We start from the raw sequence: 20937 nt of genomic DNA, 5'->3' as shown, positions 1-20937 counted from the left end.
AACCCCATCTCTACTAAAAATACAAAAATTAGCTGGGTGCAGTGGCGCGTGCCTGTCGTCCCAGCTACTAGGAAGGCTGAGGCAGGAGAATCCCTTGAACCCGGGAGGCTGGGGTTGCAGTGAACTGAGATCATACCACTGCACTCCAGCCTGGGCAACAGAGCAAGACTGCATCTCAAAAAATAAAATTAAGTTAAAAGTTAAATAATTTATCCAAGGTGACAGTGGCATTGCCAGCATGTAGACTCAAGTGGTATGATTCCAAAGCCCAAGCATTTAACATTGTTATATTTTTCCATAGCCACAAAGATTACATATACATATATATATAGTATACATATACACACATAAATATTTTATATACATATCTCCAAAGCAAGTTTTTAATCAGAGAATCTTCCTGAACATTATAAATAAAATTTTAATAAAACATTTTAAGAGTAACTTATAATAACTGACTAACCATAATATAATAATAATTGACAATAATGTTAGATTGGCTTTATTAGGTTGGATTTTTAAAATAATATATATGCTGCAGTATATTTAAAGCTTTGCCAGTCAAATATAAATTTATTTCCTACTTTCCCTTAATATCGGCATGCACTTTGAATTTTAATAAGTATATTTACTAGTTTTAAAAATGAGCTTTTCCCAATAAAGTGAACTAAAAATGAAAGAATAGTAATAAATGTTTACTTTCCATGCTTTATAAATTGATTTTAGACATTACTACATTAAAATAATTCATCAGATGTGACTTATTGTTTATTATTAGGTAGCTAATGTGGCCCCAAAAAATAAAAATGACTTTTACCCATCACATCACCATATAAAAGTCATAGACAGCAAAATATTTCCTGCCAACTTTAAGAAACACGGAAACTCTTAAAGAATTATTTAAAAATTTCATAAACTACCGGAGAAAGTATAACAGTGAATACAACAGGCATCTATTATTCACTCTATTTAATTTTTCATTGCCTTTACTTTGGCTTGTCAAATGTATCACGTCAGTAACAAAAATTAATGTGAAATAACTAAACTTGTCTTCAACCTAGCAGAGAAGTATTATCCTTAAAGGGGAACATATTCCTAAAAGCACTCTGCCTGTTAGAATAGTAAAACTTACCATAATAATTTAAAACATTTTGGAGCTAATAGAGCCATTCATATATTACTTTTACCTATGTTGGCAAAAAAATAATCATTGTGATGTTACATATGGCAATGGATTTGTAGATATGACACCAAAAATATAAGCAACAAAATAAAAAAATAGATAAACTATCAAAATTGAAACTTTTGCGTTTTAAAGGATACCATCAAAAAAGTGAACACAACCTACAGAATGGTGGAAAATACAAATCATATATCTCATGCGAGCCTCATATCTAGAAGATATATAGAACTTTTTCAATTCAACAGCAAAAAAAGCCCAATTATAAAATAAGTAAAAGATTTGAATAGACATTTCTCCAAGGAAGATAAAGAAATGGCTAAAAAGCATATGAAAAGACACAAATACTCACAAAGATATTTGTAAGCTATATTCTTAGCAGCATTATTTACAACAGCCAAAAGGTGGAAGCAACTCAAGTGTCCATCAATGAATAAATAGATAGATAAAATATGATGTGTGTAAGAACTAGATAAAGGTGACAGTTGTACAACATTGTGAATGTACTAATACATAATGAAACATTATTCAACCTTAGAAAGGAAAGACAGTCTGATACATGCTATCATACGAATGAACCATGAAGGCTTATGCTAAGAGAAATAAGCCAGTCACCAAAGGACAAAAACTGCATGATTCCACTTAACATGAGGTATCTATAGCCATCAAATTCACAGAAACAGAAAGTAGAATGGCAGTTCTTAGGGTCTGGAAGGAGGTGGGGGAGTGGGTAGCTATTTTTTAATGGTTATAGAGTTTCAGATTTACAAGATTAAAAAGTTTTAAAGAGGAATGAAAATGATGGTGGCAAAACAATGCACATGTCCTTAATGCCACTAAACTGTATACTTAAAAATGTTTAAAATGGTAAACTTTATATTATGCATATTTTTCCAAAATTTAAGAAAACAAAGTTTCTTTAAACAGGTAAAGTACTTGAATAAGTATTTCTCCAAACTAAGATACAAGGGCCAGCAAGCACATCAAAAGATATTCAATATTTAATCATTAAGGAAATGGAAATCAAAACCACAGTATTATTTAGCTGTAAAAAGGTATTAAGTACTGGTACTTGCTACAATGAGAATGAACATCAAAAACATAACATTTAGTGAAAGAAGGAAATCCCAAGATGTTACATACTGTGATTCCATTTATATGAAATATCTAGAATATAAGTAAATTTGTAAAGACAGATAGCAGAGCAGTGGTTGCCAGGGGCTGGGGTGACTCCTTCATGAGTACGGAGTTTCCTTTTGGGATGATAAAAAATGTTTAAGAAATAGATAAAGGTGATAGAGACACAGAGCAAGATAGCAGAATAGAAGGTTCCATCAATCGTCCCCTCCAACAGGGACATCAATTTAACAACTATCTAAACAGAAAAAACACCTTCATAAAACCAAAAATCAGGTGAGCCCTCATAGTACCTGGTGTTAACTTCTATCAGTGAAAGAGGCACTGAAGTGATTTCTTAAAAATTCTCCAATTGCCAACATCAGCCCTCTCCCACCTCCCTGCAGTGGCAGTATACGGGGAGGAAAGTATCTCTAGGCACTAAAGGAGGGAGAAAACAATAATCGTGAGGGACTGAACTCACTGCTGTCCTGCTATAGTAGAAAGGAGAACTGAACAAAACTCAGGGGACACCCGCCTACAGAAGGCACATACAAACCAGCACTAGACAAAGGAAAATCGCCAATCCTAGCAGTCTGAACTTCAGTTCCCACTGACCTCACCACCAAGGGCTAAAATGCTCTGAGTCTTTAAATGAAGTTGAAAGGCAGTCTGGGCCATAAGGACTACAACTCTTAGGCAAGTCCTAGTGCTGAACTGGGCCCAGAAACAGTGAACTGGAGGGCACAGGACCTGCTGGGACAGCAGAGGGGGTGACTAAGGGAGTACTGGCATTGCCTCTCCTCTAACCCCAGACTGCACAAATCGTGGTTCCAAAAGAGACCCCTAACTTCCACCTGAGAAGAGGTGTGGGAAAAGTGGAGAGGACTTTGTCTTGGCACCAGTCAGAATGATGAGGCCCTCCTTCCAGGTCTTAGCTTCCAGACGACATTTCTAGACACATACTGGGCCAGAAAGGAACCCACTGACTTGAAGGAAAGGACCCAGTCCTGGAAGCATTCATCACCTGGTTAACTGAAGAGTACTTGGGTCCTGAATAACCAGCAGCAATACCCACGTTCTATGTTGAGGGTCTTAGGTGAGCCTCTGAGACTTGCTGGCTTCAGGTGAAACACAGCACATTACCAGCTGCAGTGGCTAAAGGGCAAAACTCTTATGTTAGAGAAAAGCACAGGGAAAAGTAAATGGTACTTTGCCTTGTACCTTAGGAACTAACACAGTCACAGGTGGATGGAGCACCAAGTGGGGTCTTGGGATCCCCAATTTTAGGACTTAACTCTTGGATGGCACTTCTGAACCTACCCTAGGCCAGAGGGGAGCCCACTCCCCTAAAGGGTGAGTCCCAGGCCAGGCAGCATTCACCATAAGCTTACTTAAGAGCCCTTAGGCCTTAAGGGATCATCAGCTGTAGTCTGGCAGTACTCCCCATGGCCTTTGATGGCAGTGGCTATGAGGTGAGGCTCTTCTGCCTTTGGAAAAGGGAGGGAAGAGTGGGAAGGACTGCATATTGCGTTTTGAGTGCCAGCTCAGCCAAAGTACAATAGAACACTAAGTAGACTTCTAAGGTTTTTAACTCTAGTCCCTAACTCCTGTATAGCACCTCTGGACCCACCAGGGGCCTGAGGGAACTCGTCATCCAGAAGGGAAGAACACAGGCCTAGCTGGCTTTGCCACCTGCTGATTGTAGAGCCCCAGGACTTTAGGCGAACACAGGCAGTAACCAGTGAGTGCATACAGCAGGCTGTAGGCAAGATCCAATGTTGTGCTGGCTTCATGTCTGACCAGCACAGTCATACTGGTGATGGCCACGGTGGTACTTTTGTCACTCCACCCCCAGCTTTAAGTGGCCCAGAACAGAGAGAGGAATTCTGTTTGTTCGGGAGAAAATAAGGTAAGAGAACAATAGTCTCTGCCTGGTAATCCAGAATTCTCCCAGACCTTGTCCAAGACCATCAAGGCAGTCCCTCTATGAGTTTGTAAGTAAAGTATTACTGGGCTTAGGGTCCCCCCTATAGCAGATACAACTAATACCATAACATCCAAGTCCCAAGTCCTTTCAAACATCTAGAAAGTCTTCCCAAGGAGGACAGGTACCAACAAGCCCAGACAGTGGGGGCTACAATAAATACCTAACTGATCAATGCCCAGATAATGAAGAACATCTATTAGCATCAACACCATCCAGGAAAACATGACCTCATCAAATGAAATAGATAAGCCACCAGGGACCAATCCTGGAGAAACAGAGATATGTGACCTTTCAAACAGAGAATTTAAAATACCTGTGTTCACGAAACTCAAAGAAATGCAAGATAACAAAAAGAAGAAATTGAGAATTCTATTAGATGAATGTAACAAAGAGACTGAAATAATTAAAAGGTATCAAGGAGAAATTCTGTAGATGAAAGATGTAATTCGCATATGGAAGAATGCATTAGTCTTTTAATAGCAGAATTAATCAAGCAGAAGAAAAAATTAGTGAGCTTAAAGACAGGCTATTTGAAAATACGCTGTCAGAAAAGACAAAAGAAGAAGATTAAAAACAATGAACCACATCTACAGAATTTAGAGAATAGCTACAAAAGTGAAAATCTAAGAGTTCGTGGTCTTAAAAAGGAAGAAGTGAAACAGATAAGGGTAGAAAGTTTATTCAAAGGGGTAACAACACGAAACTTCTCAAACTAGAGAAATATATCAATATCAAAGTACAAGAAGGTTATAGAACACCAAACAGAATTAAACCCAAAGAAGACTACATCAAGGCATTTAGTAATCAATCAAACTCCCAAAGATCAAGAATAAAGAAAGGATCCTAAAAGCAGCAAGGGAAAAGCAACAAATCACATACAATGGAGCTCCAATACATCTGGCGGCAGACTGTTCAGTGGAAACCTTATGGGCCGGGAGACAATGGCATGACATATTTAAAGTGCTGAAGGAAAACAACTTTTACATTTGAAATGTATATATATCCTAAAATGTATATATTTGAAGTGTATATATATCCTACAAACATGAAGGAGAAATAAAGACTTTCCCAGACAAACAAAAGCTGAGTGATTTCATCAGCACCAGACCTGTCCTAAAAGAAATGCTAAAGGGAGTACTCCAAACAGAAAAAAAAAATGACATTAATCAGCAATAAGTAATCACCTGAAAACACAAAACTCACCAGTAACAGTGAGTACACATAAAAACACAGAATATTATAACACTGTAACTGTGGTGAGTAAAATACTCTTATCCTACATAGAAAGACTAAACAATGAACCACTCAAAAATAATAACAACTTTTCAAGATGTTGACAGTAAAATAAGATATAAATACAAACAATAACAAGTTAAAAAGCAGATGGATGAGGTTAAGGTATAGAGTTTTTATTAGTTTTCATTTGCTTGTTTGTTTATGCAAACAGTGTCAAGTTGTTATTAGGTTAAAATAATGGGCTATAAGGTAGTTTTTGCAAGATTCATGGTAACCTCAAACCAAAAAACATACAATGGATACACAAAAAATAAAAACTAAAAAACTATATCATATCACCAGGAAAAAAAAGGCCTTCACTAAAGGAAGACAGGAGGGAAAGAAAGAAGGAAAAGAGGACCACAAAAAGTGTCAAGTTGTTATCAGCTTAAATAATGGGTTATAATGTACTATTTACAAGTCTCGCGGTAACCTCAAAACAAAAAAACAAGATACACAAGAAATAAAAACCAAGAAACTCAATCATATCACCTTCACTAAAGCAAGACAGAAAGAAAGAAGGAAGAGAAGAACACAAAACAACCAGAAAACAAATAATAAAATGGCAGAAGTAAGTCCTTACTTATCAATAATAGCTTTCAACGTAAATAGACTAAACTCTTCAATCAAGAGAGTGGCTGAATGGATGGAAAAAAAATACTCAATAATCTGTTGCCTACAATAAACATATTTTACAAATAAAGACACATGTAGCCTATGATAAAGGAATGGAAAAATATATTCCATGCAAATGGAAACCAAAAAAGAATAGGAGTAGCTATACTTACATCAAACAAAACAGATTTCAAGACGAAAAACAAAAGAATAGACAAAGAAGGTCACTCTATAATGATAAAGCGGTCAATTCAGCAAGAAGATATAACAGTTTTAAACATATGTATACACCCAACAATGAAGCATCTAGATATATAAAGCAAATATTATTATTAGAGGTAAAGAGAGAGATAGGCCCCAATAAAGTAATAGCTGGAGATTTCAACACTGCACTTTCAGCTATGAACAGATCTTTCTTCGAAGAAAATCAACAAAGAAACATGGGACTTAATCTGCACTATAGACCAAATGGATCTATCAGATAGTTACAGAAAATTTCATCCAACAGCTGCAGAATACACATTATTTTCCTCACCACATGGATCACTCTCAAGTATAGACCATATGTTAGGTCACAAAGCAAGTTGTAAAACATTGAAAAAAACTGAAATAATATAAAGCATCATCTCTGACCACAATGGAATAAAACTAGAAATTAATAACAAGAGGAATTTACAAATACATGGAAATTAAACAATATGCTCCTGAATGACCAGAGGGTCAATGAAGAAACTAAGAAGGAAACTGAAAATTTTCTTGAAACATGATAATAGAAACACAACATACTAAAACCTATGGGATACAGCAAAGCAATACTAAGAGGAAGTGTCTAGCTATAAGTGCCTACATCAAAAAAAGAGGAAAAGCTTCAAATAATCTAATGATGCATCTTAAAAACTAGAAAAGGAAGAGCAAACCAAAACCAAAATTAATAGAAGAAAATAAGAAAGATCAAAGCAGAAATAATAAAATTGAAATGAAGAAAACAATAAAAAAAAGACTGATGAAACAAAAGGTTGATTTTTGAAAGGTTAAACAAAATAGAAAAACCTTTAGCCAGACAAACTAAGAAAAAACAGAGAAGACACACAAAAAAATTCAATCAGAAAGGAAAAGGAGACATTTCAAAGGATACTGCAAAAATTCAAAGGATTACTAGTGGCTACTATGAACAACTACATGCCAATAAACTGGAACATCTAGAAGAAATAAAAAATTCCTACACAGATACAACCTACCGAGATTGAACTGGGAAGAAATCCAAAACCTGAACAGACCAATAACAAGTAATGTTATTGAAGGTATAATAAAAAGTTTCCCAATAAAGAAAAGCCTGGGGTCTGATGGCTTCACAGCTGAATTCTACCAAACATTTAAAGCAGAACTAATACCAATCCTACTCAAACTATTCTGAAAAATAGAGGAGAAGGAAATACTTCCAAACTCATTCTACAAGGCCAATATTACCCTGATATTAAAACCAGACAAAGACACACACACCAAAAAAAAAAAAAAAGAAAAGAAAAGAAAAGAAAAAAAAAGAAAGAAAACTAGCCGGGTGTGGTGGCTCACCCCTGTAATCCCAGCACTTTGGGAGGCCAAGGCTGTCAGATGCCAAGGTCAGGAGATCTAGACCATCCTGGCTAACATGGTGAAACTCCATCGCTACTAAAAATCCAAAAATTAACCAGGCTTGTTGGCACATACCTGCAGTCCCAGCTACTTGGAGGCTGAGGCAGGAGAATCACTTGAACCCAGGAGGTGGAGGTTGCAGTGAGCTGAGATCGTGCCACTGCACTCCAGCCTGGGTGACAGAGCGAGACTCCATGTCAAAAACAAACAAAGAAAACTACAGGCCAATATCTCTAGTGAATGTTGGTGCAAAATACTAGCAAACAAAATTCAACAGTACATCAGAAAGATCATTCATAACCAAGTGGGATTTATCCCCCTGGAATGCAAGAATGGTTCAACATATGCAAATCAGTCCATGTGACACATCATATCACTAGAATGAAGGATAAAAATGATCTAATCATTTCAATTGACAGTGAAAACGCATTTGATAAAATTCAAGATCCCTTCATGATAAAAACCCTCAAAAAATTGGGGATTGAAGGAACATAACTCAACCTAATAAAAGCCATATATGACAGACCCACAGCTAGTATCATACTGAAGGGGGAAAATTGAGAGGCTTTCTTCTAAAATCTGGAACACAATAAGGATGCCCACTTTCACCACTGTTATTGAACACAGTCCTGAACGTCCTAGCTAGAGCAATAAGAAAAAAGAAAGATATAAAGGGCATCCAAATAGGAAAGGAGGAAGCCAAATTATCCTTGTTTCCAGATAATATGATCTTATATTTGGAAAAACCTAAAGACTCCATAAAAATCTTAGAACTGATAAATTCAGTAAAATTGAAGGATACAAAATCAACATACAAAAATCAGTAGCATTTCTATATGCCAATAGTGAACAATATAAAAAAGAAATTAAGAAAGTAATCCCATTTATAATAGCCACACATAAAATTAAATACCTGGGAATTAACCAAAGAAGTGAAAGATCTCTATAATGGAAACTATAAAACACTAATTAAAGAAATTGAAGAGGATACCAAAAATGCATTGGAAGAATCAATTCATGGATTGGAAGAATCAATATTGTTAAAATGTCCATATTACCCAAGGCAGTCTACAGATACAATGCAATCCCTCTCAAAATAACAGTAACATTTGTCACAGAAACAGAAAAAAAATTAAAATATATATGGAACCACAAAAGACCCAGAATAGCCAAAGCTATCCAAAGCAAAAAGAACTGAAGGAATGACATTACCTGACTTCAAGGTATACTAAGGAGCTACAGCAAGCAAAGCAGCATAATACTGGCATAAAAACAGACACATAGTTCAATGGAACAGAACAGAGAACTCAGAAACAAATCGACACAGCTACAGTGAATTCATTTTCGACAAAGGTGACCAGAACATATACTGGGGAAAAGACAGATTCTTCAATAAATGGTGCTGGGAAAACTGGAGATCCATATGCAGAAGAATGAAACTAGAGCCTATCTCTTGCCATATATAAAAAGCATATGGTATAAAGACTTAAATCTAAGACCTCAAACTATGAAACTACCAGAACAAAACATTGGGGAAAAATCTCCAGGACATTGGTCTGGGCCAAAATTTCTTGGACAATACCCTGTAAGCACAGGCAACTAAAGCAAAAACGGACAAATGGGATTACAACAAGTTAAACAGCTTCTGCACAGCAAAGGATACAATCAACAAAGTGAAGAGAAAACCCACAGAATGGGAGAGAATATTTGCAAACTACCCATCTAACAAAGGACTAGTAACCCAAATATATAAGAAGCTGAAACAATGCCACAGAAAAAAATCTAATAATCCAATCAAAAAGTGGGCAAAATATTTGAAGAGATATTTCTCAAAAGAAGACATACAAATGACAAACAGGCATATGCAAAGGTGCTCAAAATCATGGATCATCAGAGAAATGCAAATCAGAACTGTAATATCACCCCAGTTAAAATGGCTTATATCCAAAGACAGGCAATAACAAATGTTTGTGAGGATGTGGAGAAAACAGAACCCTTGTACACAGTTGGTGAGAATGTAAATTAGTACAAGTACTATGGAGAAAAGTTTGAAGGTTCCTCAAAACACTAAAAATTGAGCAACCGTATGATCCAGCAATTCCATGGCTGGGTATAAACCTTAAAAATAGGACACTGGTATATCAAAGAGATACCTGCGCTCCTACGTTGCAACAATGTTTACAATAGATAAAATTTGGAAGCAACCTAAGTGTCCATTACACAGGGGTCCCCAACCCCTGGGTATGGACTGGTACCAGTCTATTTCCTGTCAGGAACCGGCTGCACAGCAGAAGGTGATCAGCGGGTGAAAAAGCATTCAGGCCAGAGCTCTGCCTCCTGTCAGATCTGTGGTGGCATCAGATTCTCATAGGAGCTCAAACCCTACTGTGAACTACACATGTGAGGAATCTAGACTACGCACTCCTTATGAGAATCTAACTAATGCCTGATGATCTGAGGTAGAATAGTTTCATCCACAAACTATACCCCACCACCACCCCATCCGTGGAAAAATTGTCTTCCCCAAAACTACTCCCTGATGCCAAAAATGTTGGGGACTGCTGTATTAACAGATGAATGGATAAAGAAAATGTGGTATATATTTTTTATGGCATTCATCCATAAAAAAGAATGAGATCCTGTCATTTGCAACAACATGGATAGAACTGGAGATCACTATGTTAAGTGAAATAAGACAGGCACAGAAAGACAAACATTGCATGTTCTCACTTATTTGCGGAATCTAAAAAGCAAAACAATTGAATTCATGAACATAGACAGTAAAAGGATGGTTACCAGAGGCTGGGAAGGGTAATGGGGTGCTGGGGAGAAGGTAGGGATGATTAATGGGTACAAAAACAATAGTTAGAGGGCTGGAGGGCAGGGGGTATAGTTAAGAGGTGCAAAAAAATAGGAAGAATGAAGAAGACCTACTATTCGATAGCACAATAAGGTGACTATAGTCAGTAGCAACTTAATTGTACATTTTAAAATAACTTGAAATAACTTAAAGAGTGTAATTAGATTCTTTGTAACACAAAGGATAAATGCTTGAGCAGGTTACCCTATTCTCCATGAAGTGATTATTTCACATTGCATGCCTGTATCAAGATATTTCATGTACCCCATAAATATATACACCTACTATGTACCCACAAAATTAAAAATTGAATTCTTTTTAATTAAAAACTTTAAAAAATGCCCAGGCATGGTGGCTCACGCCTGTAACCACAGCACTTTGGGAGGCTGAGGCAGACAGATCACGAGGTCAGGAGTTTAAGACCAGCCTGGCCAACATAGTGAAACTCCATCTCTATTAAAAATACAAAAAAAAAAAAAATTAGCTAGGCATGGTGGCGGGCCCCTGTAGTCCCCCCCCCCCAGCTACTTGGGAGGCTGAGGCAGGAGAATTGCTTGAACCCAGGACACAGAGGTTGCAGTGAGCCGAGATCACACCACTGCACTCCAGCCTGGGCAACACAGCGAGACTCTGTCTAAAAAAAAAAAGAAAAAAAAATCAGACAGTTGCACAACACTGTACATAGTTAAGTGTCTGTTATGTGGGTTTCACTTTGCTAAAAAGTCATTCTCAAGAATTGGAGTTATGGTTAGAAGCATTATATAAATGCCAACAGAAATATATTAAGTAAATTACAGAATGAACTAATTACATATGGGCATGAAAATATGTTGGAAAATATATCCAAAATAATTTTCATAAAAGTAAAATAAAACATACCACAATTTTATATTAAATACACGACAGTTTACAGAGACACACAAATTGTAATGTGAATGAAAACATCTCATAGTATATTTTTTCTTCAAATTATGCAATCAATACATTAACACACATAACCTATCTGACACATGCACTTTCTCCAATAAAATGTATGGCCATGGAAAATTCAGTACTGAAACACTTTAGAAAGAGCTTGTCTTGAAAACCTTGGTCTTTTTAGAAATATAAAATTAAAAAACACTATGACTCTAGTATGTAGACCCTAAATTTTGTGGATTCCACTTGGCCCATAATTACTGCATCTTATGTATCCACTGGACAGAGCACTAAGCTGTGGCTTTTAGGTGAGAACAACTGGATCTTCCTGGTCCATATGAACATAACTCCTGCATTAACAGTTAAGAGCGAGGTTTAGGAATGAGACATTTTCTTACTCTAACTAGCAATATGATCTTGGGTATTTTAGATAACTTCTTTGTGCATTAAATATTTGTGTCCACATGTAAAATGAGGATCAAAGTAATACCATACAGTTTTGTAAAGCTAATATAAAATAATGACAATAAAGCTATTAGTACGGTGCCTAGGATATAAAAAATGTTAAATGTGGGCCAATGCATCTGTATTAGAGCTTCAAATGGATCAGAGCACTGCATAACACAAAACTTCCATTCACCTATCTTTATTTGTCACCCAACATACTACAGTAGGCCCTCCTTACCCATGGGTTCCACATCTGTGAACTCAACCAACAGCAGATCAAAAATATTCAGAAAAAATCCCCCAAATTCCAAAATGTAAAATTTATATTTGCCATGCACCAAGTATACTTTGAATCCATGTGAATGAAGTGAAATATAGGCATTGTATTAGGAATTACAACTAAAGATGATTTGAAGTACACAGGAGGATATGCATCAGTTTTATGCAAATACTACACCACTATGTAAGGGACTTCACCATCTGCAGATGTTGGTACACAGGAAAGGTCTTGGAATTAATCCGCATGGATACCAAGGTACAACTGTATTAGCTGCACAATTTTGTTGACTCAAATGTTGAATCAGTTCATCATTCCCCATGTGTCTCAACTCTGAGTGCATATTAGTCACTTGGGAAACATTTAAAAAGAACAATTACCTAAGAATCACCCTACAACCACAACCAAGATAATGATTTAATTGTTTTAGAAAGTGGCCCAGACAGCCATATTTTTAAAAGCTTTCCAGCTGGTTCTAATATGCAGCTAGTGTTAAAAAAAAATTATCTAACCAGAGTCAGGCTCCACTCCCTCAAATTCCTCACATCTTCACAGCCAAAAACGTATTTCTGTGGGTGCTATGTAGGCAAACTCCATTTAGAGACGGTAGATTAAAAATTTAAAAGACAAGTTCCAATCTAGAGATAATGAAGGATTTCTATTAAATTCTACTTTAAAAGGAAATTATATTTAAAGAACAAATATTATTTACAAAGTAGGAGAAAGAAGTGGCAGAATAGAGAGGAAGATGGAGGAAAGTAGGGTTTAGTAAACAAGAATGTGATGATTATGGCTAGCATTTATAATGCTCTTTTTTATGTGCTTCAATTCCTAAGGCCTATATTACATAAAATCTCATTTGACCTTTACAACAACTCAGTGAATTATTATCATCTCCATTTTACATATGGGAAAAATAAGACACTGAGAGGTTAATGAACCAAGGTCATACATTTGAACAGTGACAGAGTTGGGATTTCAGCCCAGATTTGGTTCCAAACCCATACTCTCCTAGATACTACTCTATACTACCACCCTGTGCAATAAAAATCTTACCTGATGTAAGTTAAACACATTTAACTTTTAATTATTATTTCTGAAGTCAAAACAATAAATTATTACTTATTAAAAAAACTATCAGCAATGATTATTTTTGAATAGTGAGATAGTAGGTGTTTTTTCTTTTATTTATCTGTGTTTGAGAAATTACAATAAGAAACATGCATTCATTTTGAAATAAGAAAAAGGAATATTTTTGAATCAAGCATATTACAGAATTTTTATAGTTCACAGTTTCTAATATGTATTACTTTAGAAAACATACTAAAACTGAGTAAAAAATTTTCTGTAGTAGTATATATTCTCCACAACAGGCGCTGCTTTCTTAATTATCTTTTCCTTAGTAAAAATACACCAAAATTTGCTTAAAAGAAACTTACCTGTGCACTGTCCACCATTGGTTGGATCTCCATAATAACCTGGCATACAATCTTGACACTGCTTTCCTGTGGTGAGATTTTTACACTGTTCGCACACATTATTATTGATGCAAGTGCTATGTCCATTACACTGGCAAGCTAAAGGAAACAGTAAAAAGCATTACAAATATCTAACATAATATCAAGTATAATAGCTATCAAAACAAAGAATGTATCTTAAAAAGCTGGATTGTAAAAGTGCCCAAAGAGCATCTTCCAAGTTTTGTTTAAAAATTAATAACACATATAGCTCAAAGTTTTGTGCAAGACAGTATGTACCATAAATCATGTGTTGAAATTTTACCTTAACCTCTTTACAATGCCATGGTTAAAGATGAACTGGAACATAAAAGTTATAGCTAAAGAGGGAATAATCTTTAGCATAATCCTTAAAAATTCATAAGAATGGTATGTCTGTTAAGTTATATAAACACAAGGCTAAATACTATAACTTTGATAAAGAATGCTAAAATTCATCTTAATTATATTAACACATGATAATAAAGAGTCAATCAATATAGAAAATAGTGTGGCAATAGATTCTAACCAGAATAAAGTAAACTAATAGTAAAATTAATAAAAATAGTACTTTTGAGCCAGGCGTGGTGGCTCACACCTGTAATCCCAGCACTTTGGGAGGCCGAGGTGGGCAGATCACTTGAGGTGAGGAGTTTGAGACCAGCCTGGCCAACTTGGTGAAACCCTGTCTCTACTAAAAATACAAAAAAATTAGCTGGGCATGGTGGTGCATGCCTGTAATCTTAGCTACTTGGGAGGCTGAGGCAGGAGAATTCGCTTGAACCTGGGAGAGAGATGTTGCAGTGAGCCGAGATCGTGCCAGTGCACTCCAGCCTGGGCAACAGAGCAAGACTCCGTCTCAAAAAAAAAAAAAAAAGTACTTTTGAATTAATTTGCATAAATATGTATCTTCTTTAGGTAAGAAAAACTTCAAGATTTAACTGAAAGTCTATTTAAGTTTGAACTAAACAGAATGAAATATAAAGTATGAGATTGTTTATATATCTGTGTAACTGAGACTTCCATGTTTCGATGTTAATATTACAGCAGAATATAAAAATTTCAGAATAAAGTTCATGTATGAAAGGCTCATGCTCTTTGTGCCTATTTGGGACATAAAATTAACTTAGTCTGGTAACTGCTTGGCCAAAAATCATCTTAATTGTCACCCTCATGATTATTTTTACTTATTACAACTATGATAGCAACTAGCATTTAACTGAGCTCTCTCTCACTCCATGAGGAAAGCCAATATTCTGCTGGTGCCAATTGTTTGTAGTTGGTATCTGTTCTGATTGGTAAGTGTACATAAGCATCAATTTTTAAACACTGTAAACACCATGCCTTGGCCAGACAGAGGACCAAATTGTACATATGAATTTTATTATTTAATCTTCAAAACAATGCTATGTGGAAGTTGCTGTGTTCAGGACTGATTCTAAGATGGAGAAATCTGGGTTAAGCAACTACACAAAGTCACACAGCTAATCAACGACAGAAACAAATATGTATATGGAACATTGAATGTAAAAAAAAAACAGATATTAAATAGCATGTAAAACTGCCTCTTATATTCAGAAAATCTGAAAGTGAGAGGAATTCCCAAGAGGCTAGCATAGGATCATCAAAATGAATTAGCATGTGAAGAAACAGACAAACAAAAGAGTAAAACCAAATACTTTACAGAAATTCTTAGAGGTGCAAGTCTATTGTAACACATTATAGAAAGAATATGCAGTTATGAAAAAATGCTCATCATCCTCTTTATGAAATTGAGAATAATTATAATGTTTTTAAACTCCATATTACATTATGAAACAATTAGAAAATTTAATAGCAAGGAATAATGTTCATGACAAATTAAGAGAAGCAATTAATACAGAGCATTATATTTAGAAAGATGGCAATGTTAAATTCAAGGAAGCAGAGCAAACAGCAAAATAGGTTTCTCCAACAATTATACCCACGAAGAAACATCAATTTGAACAACCACTCACACATACAATTGCCTTCACGAGGGCTAAAAAAAACCTGAATGCACAAGTAAGGCTGTGAAGCCTCTCCAGACTACAGACTAGTAAAAGTATGGTTGGATGGTAAGAGAATCAGTTTTCTGTGACCACAATACCCCATCCCCAAGCCCTTAGAGTACTATACACAGAAAGGTCTCCAGGACTCAGGGATTCTACACTCAAAAGAGGAAGCCGGAGATAGGCATTATGCTTCTCTACCATCCTGAATCCCTTCATGGGAGATTTGCTTCTGCATCAGCCCATGAAGAGCATCACAAGTACAATGGGGCTGAACCACCTGAGGCCACCTATGGAAAAAAGAAAGAGTAGGGCTAGTAACAGGCAGCACAGAGAACTTGGCAGTGGCTTACCATCCCTGGCAGAGAGGATGCCCCACCACAGAGGATGTTTATGAGTGCCACAATGTCAGATGGATGGTCTACAATCCTTCATATGTGAGGGTCTGACCCTGATCTCTTACATGGCCTGGGCACCCAATATGGATCTCCCATGATCACAATGAGTTTGGATCCTGCATTAGACAATCATGTCAAAGCTGGGCTCAGAGCACCTTCTAGCACTAAAATGAAATACAAGAGTCAGTATGCTCAGAATATGTCAACAAGCCCACCGAAACAGAGCAGTCACAAACAAATCCAGACTGCAAAGACTGGAAAAAAATACCTAATTTGTCAATAAACATACAGAGACACATGTAAAGAAGATATAAGATTAGCTTGGAAAAGATGGCCTCATGAAACGCCCAAAACAAGGTGCCAATTACTAATCCTAAACATATGCACATAAATCATAGGCAATCAAAGAATTAAAATATAGCTGCTTTAAGAAAAATCAGCAATGTCAATACAACACAGAGGAACAAATGAGGAATTTGTTAGAGAAATTCAACAAACAAATTGAAATAATTTAAAAAATCAAACAGTAATCCAGGAGCTAAAAAGAATAATAAATGAAAGGAAAAATGCAGGCCTCACACCTGCGGTGGCTCACGCCTATAATCCCAGCACTCTGGGAAGCTGAGGCAGACAGATCACAAGGTCAGGAGATTGAGATGATCCTGGCTAACATGGTGAAACCCCATCTCTACTAAAAATACAAAAAAATTAGCCAGGCTTGGTGGCGGGCGCCTGTAGTCCCAGCTACTTGGGAGGCTGAGGCAGGAGAATGGCGTGAACCCAGGAGGTGGAGGTTGCAGTGAGCCGAGATTGCACCACTGCACTCCAGCCTAGGCAACAGAGCAAGACTCCGTCTCAAAAAAAAAAAATGCAATAAAGGGCATCAATAGCAGAATGACAAAGCAGAAGAATCACTGATTTCAAAAACAAGCTATTGGAAAATACACACTCAGAGAAGAAAACAGATAAGCAATGAGAAAAACACAGAGGTTCTATGAAACAGTGTCAAAAGAGCAAATCTGTGTATCATTAGTGTTCAAAAAAGAATAAAAAATGAAAATGGGGAAGAAAGCTTATTTAAAAAAAATAACAGAAAATGTCCAAACCTGAAGAAAGATATAAATATTCAAGTACAGAAAGGTGAAAGGTAACAAAACAGATTCAATCCAAATAAGATAACCCTAAGACATATATAACCACTTTCTCAAAAGTCAAAGACAGAGAACACTGAAAGCAGCATGAGAAAAAAAAAAAAAAAAAAAGCAAATAACACATAAAGGAATTCCAATATGCCTGACAGGAGAGTTACCAGGAGAAACCCCACAGGCCAAGAGAGAGCGGGATGACATATTCAAAGACAACAAAACTGCCTGCCAAGAATACCGTATAGAGCAAACTTATTAATTAGAAATAAAGACTAAAGACATTCCCAGATAAACAAAAGCTGAAGAAAACCCTTGCAACCAGAACTACATTACAAAAAAAATACTTTCAGGAGTTGTTCGAACAAAAAGAAAAAATAATAATCCTAATGTGTAACAAAAAAAGTTCAAAACTATAAAACTGACAGGTAAAAATAAGTATCTAAACAAATTCAGAATACTCTAACATGGTAATCGTGGGTCAAGAAACAATTATATCCTTATTAGGAAGGTTAAAAAACAAAGCAAATAAAAATAACAACAACTAAAATGATTTGGTTAAGGGATAAACAATATAAGATGTAAATTATGACATCAAAAATGCAAAATGTAGAAGAGTAATGAAGTTAAAGAATAGAGTGGGTTTTTCCTTTTCTTCCGACCAAAATTAACTTATCAATTCAAAATAGCCTTTTAAAATAATAAGATGTTTTTGATAGGCTCAAGGTAAGCAAAAAACAAAAGCCTACAATATATACACTAAAAATAAAAAGCAAGAAATCAAATCATATTGCTAGAGAAAATCACTTAACACAAAGGGAGGCAGTAAGAGAAGAAAGAAAGAAATGTTCTACAAAACAACTAGAAAACAAGTAGCAATATGGCAGTACAAAATCCTTACCTTCCAATAATTACCTTGAATGTAAAGGGCTTAAATTCTCCAAATAAAAGACAAACAGTGAGTCAATGAATAAAGAAACAAGACCCAACTACATACTGCCAACAAAAGATTCAATTCACCTTTAAGAATGTGCATAGACTTAAAGTAATGAGATGCAAAAACATATTGCACGCAAATGGAAAAGTAAGTAGGATTAACTATACTTCTATTAGACAAAATAGGCTTCAAGTCAAAAACTATAAAAAGAGATAAATGAGGTCAATACTTACTGATAAAGGGATCAATACAAGAGGATAGAACAATCGAGAATTTATATGGAATGCACATTGGAGTAACTTAATATAGAAAGCAAACATTAATAGATCCAAAGGGAGGTATAGAAAGCAAAACAATAGTAGTAGGGGAATGTTAACACCCAACTCTCAGCAATCGACAGATCATCAAGGCAGAAAATATATGGGGAAACACTGAACATAAACTGAATTTATGACAAAAATGACTTCACATATACAAAATATTCCATCCAAAAGCTGCAGAATTCACATTCTTCTCAAATGCATATGCAACATTCTTCAGGTTAGCTAATATGTTAGGAAAAAAGTCTTAATGAATTAAATATATCAAAATCATATGAAGTATCTTTTCTGACCATAATGAAATAAAACTAGAAGAAAAGAGAAGGAACTTCAAACACTATACAAATAGATAGAAATTAAAGAACATGCTCCTAAACAGCCATGGGTAAATTATAAAATTGACAGTGAAAAAAACAAATGCTGGCATGTATGTGGAGAAAGGGGAACTCTATACATTTTTTATGGGAATGTAAATTGGTACATCAAAAACAGTTGGAGGTTTCTCAAAAAAAATAAAAATATAATACTATATGATCCAGCAATCTCACTACTGGGTGTATATCCAAAGGAAATAAAATCAGTATGTTGAAGAGACATCAGCACTTCAATGTATTAATATATTGCAGCACTACACACAATAACCAAAATATAGGATCAACCTAAATACCAAACATGGATGAATGGATAAAGAAAGTGTGAATAAACAAATAAATACACATACACACATGCACACAATGAAATATTTTTCAGCCATGAAAAAGGTCCATAAAAAATAAAATCCCATCATTTGGGACAACACGGATGAGTTTAGATGACATTTTCTTAAGTGAAATAAGCCAGGCACAGAAAGACAATCACCACATGATCTCAGTCATATATGGTATCTTTAAAAAAAAGATCTCATAGACATTAAGAGTATAATGATGATTACAAGAAACTGGAGAGAATAGGAGGAGGGGGAGATAGGGACATGTTGGTTAATGCATACAATATTACACATAGGAGGAATACCTATGATGCAATAGAGTACAAGAACAGTAGTAAGGTGATTATAGCTAACAATAATGCATTTCAAATAGCTAGAAGAGAGGATTCTGAATGTTCTCACAACAAACACATTATAAATGTTTAAGGTAATAGATATGTTAATTACCATGATTCGACCATTATACAACATATACCTGTATTAAAACATCGCATTGAACCGTGTGAAACATGTGCATATTTTGTTTCAATTTAACATAGTGACAATTTTGTGATGAAATGTATAAATACGTTTATGGAAAAGCTGATGGGTATCTTACTAAAGTAAGATTTTTCTGTATTACCAATTGTCTATAATAAATTAATATTATCTTTACAATAATGTTATTAAAAACTTTAATTTTATAACATTATCCTTAAAAGCTTAAGGTACTGTTTCTTTTTTTTAAATTATTTTTTATTATTATTATACTTTAAGTTTTAGGGTACATGTGCACAATGTGCAGGTTAGTTACATATGTATACATGTGCCATGCTGGTGCGCTGCACCCACTAACTCGTCATCTAGCATTAGGTATATCTCCCAATGCTATCCCTCCCCACTTCCCCCCACCCCACAACAGTCCCCAGAGTGTGATGTTCCCCTTCCTGTGTCCATGTGTTCTCATTGTTCAATTCCCACCTATGAGTGAGAATATGCGGTGTTTGGTTTTTTATTCTTGCGATAGTTTACTGAGAATGATGATTTCCAATTTCATCCATATCCCTACAAAGGACATGAACTCATCATTTTTTATGGCTGCATAGTATTCCATGGTGTATATGTGCCACATTTCTTAATCCAGTCTATCATTGTTGGACATTTGGGTTGGTTCCAAGTCTTTGCTATTGTGAATAGTGCCGCAATAAACATACGTGTGCATGTGTCTTTATAGCAGCATGATTTATAGTCCTTTGGGTATATACCCAGTAATGGGATGGCTGGGTCAAATGGTATTTCTAGTTCTAGATCCCTGAGGAATCGCCACACTGACTTCCACAATGGTTGAACTAGTTTACAGTCCCACCAACAGTGTAAAAGTGTTCCTATTTCTCCACATCCTCTCCAGCACCTGTTGTTTCCTGACTTTTGAATGACTGCTATTCTCACTGGTGTGAGATGGTATCTCATTGTGGTTTTGATTTGCATTTCTCTGATGGTCAGTGATGGTGAGCATTTTTTCATGTGTTTTTTGGCTGCATAAATGTCTTCTTTTGAGAAGTGTCTGTTCATGTCCTTTGCCCACTTTTTGATGGGGTTGTTTGTTTTTTTTCTTGTAA

General features: G+C 35.7%; 1 protein-coding gene across 11 annotated transcripts in view; it reads right to left on the bottom strand.

The window, feature by feature from the left end:
* The window catches only part of ATRNL1 (attractin like 1), an 855635-nt gene that overhangs the window by 600831 nt on the left and 233867 nt on the right, over positions 1–20937 (bottom strand). For 10 of the 11 annotated variants that reach the window (NM_207303.4, XM_011539588.3, XM_017016035.3 and 7 more), the window contains one exon: positions 13750–13887. The exons of the other annotated variant lie outside the window; for it this stretch is intronic. In NM_207303.4, coding sequence (NP_997186.1) covers positions 13750–13887 — 138 coding nt within the window. The remainder of the gene's footprint in view (positions 1–13749; positions 13888–20937) is intronic. 11 annotated transcript variants of the gene reach the window in all.

Source organism: Homo sapiens, chromosome 10, assembly GCF_000001405.40.
Source record: "Homo sapiens chromosome 10, GRCh38.p14 Primary Assembly".
Taxonomy (NCBI): domain Eukaryota; kingdom Metazoa; phylum Chordata; class Mammalia; order Primates; family Hominidae; genus Homo; species Homo sapiens.
Note: the sequence above shows the minus strand (reverse complement) of the source record. Positions and strands in the feature narration are given on the sequence as shown.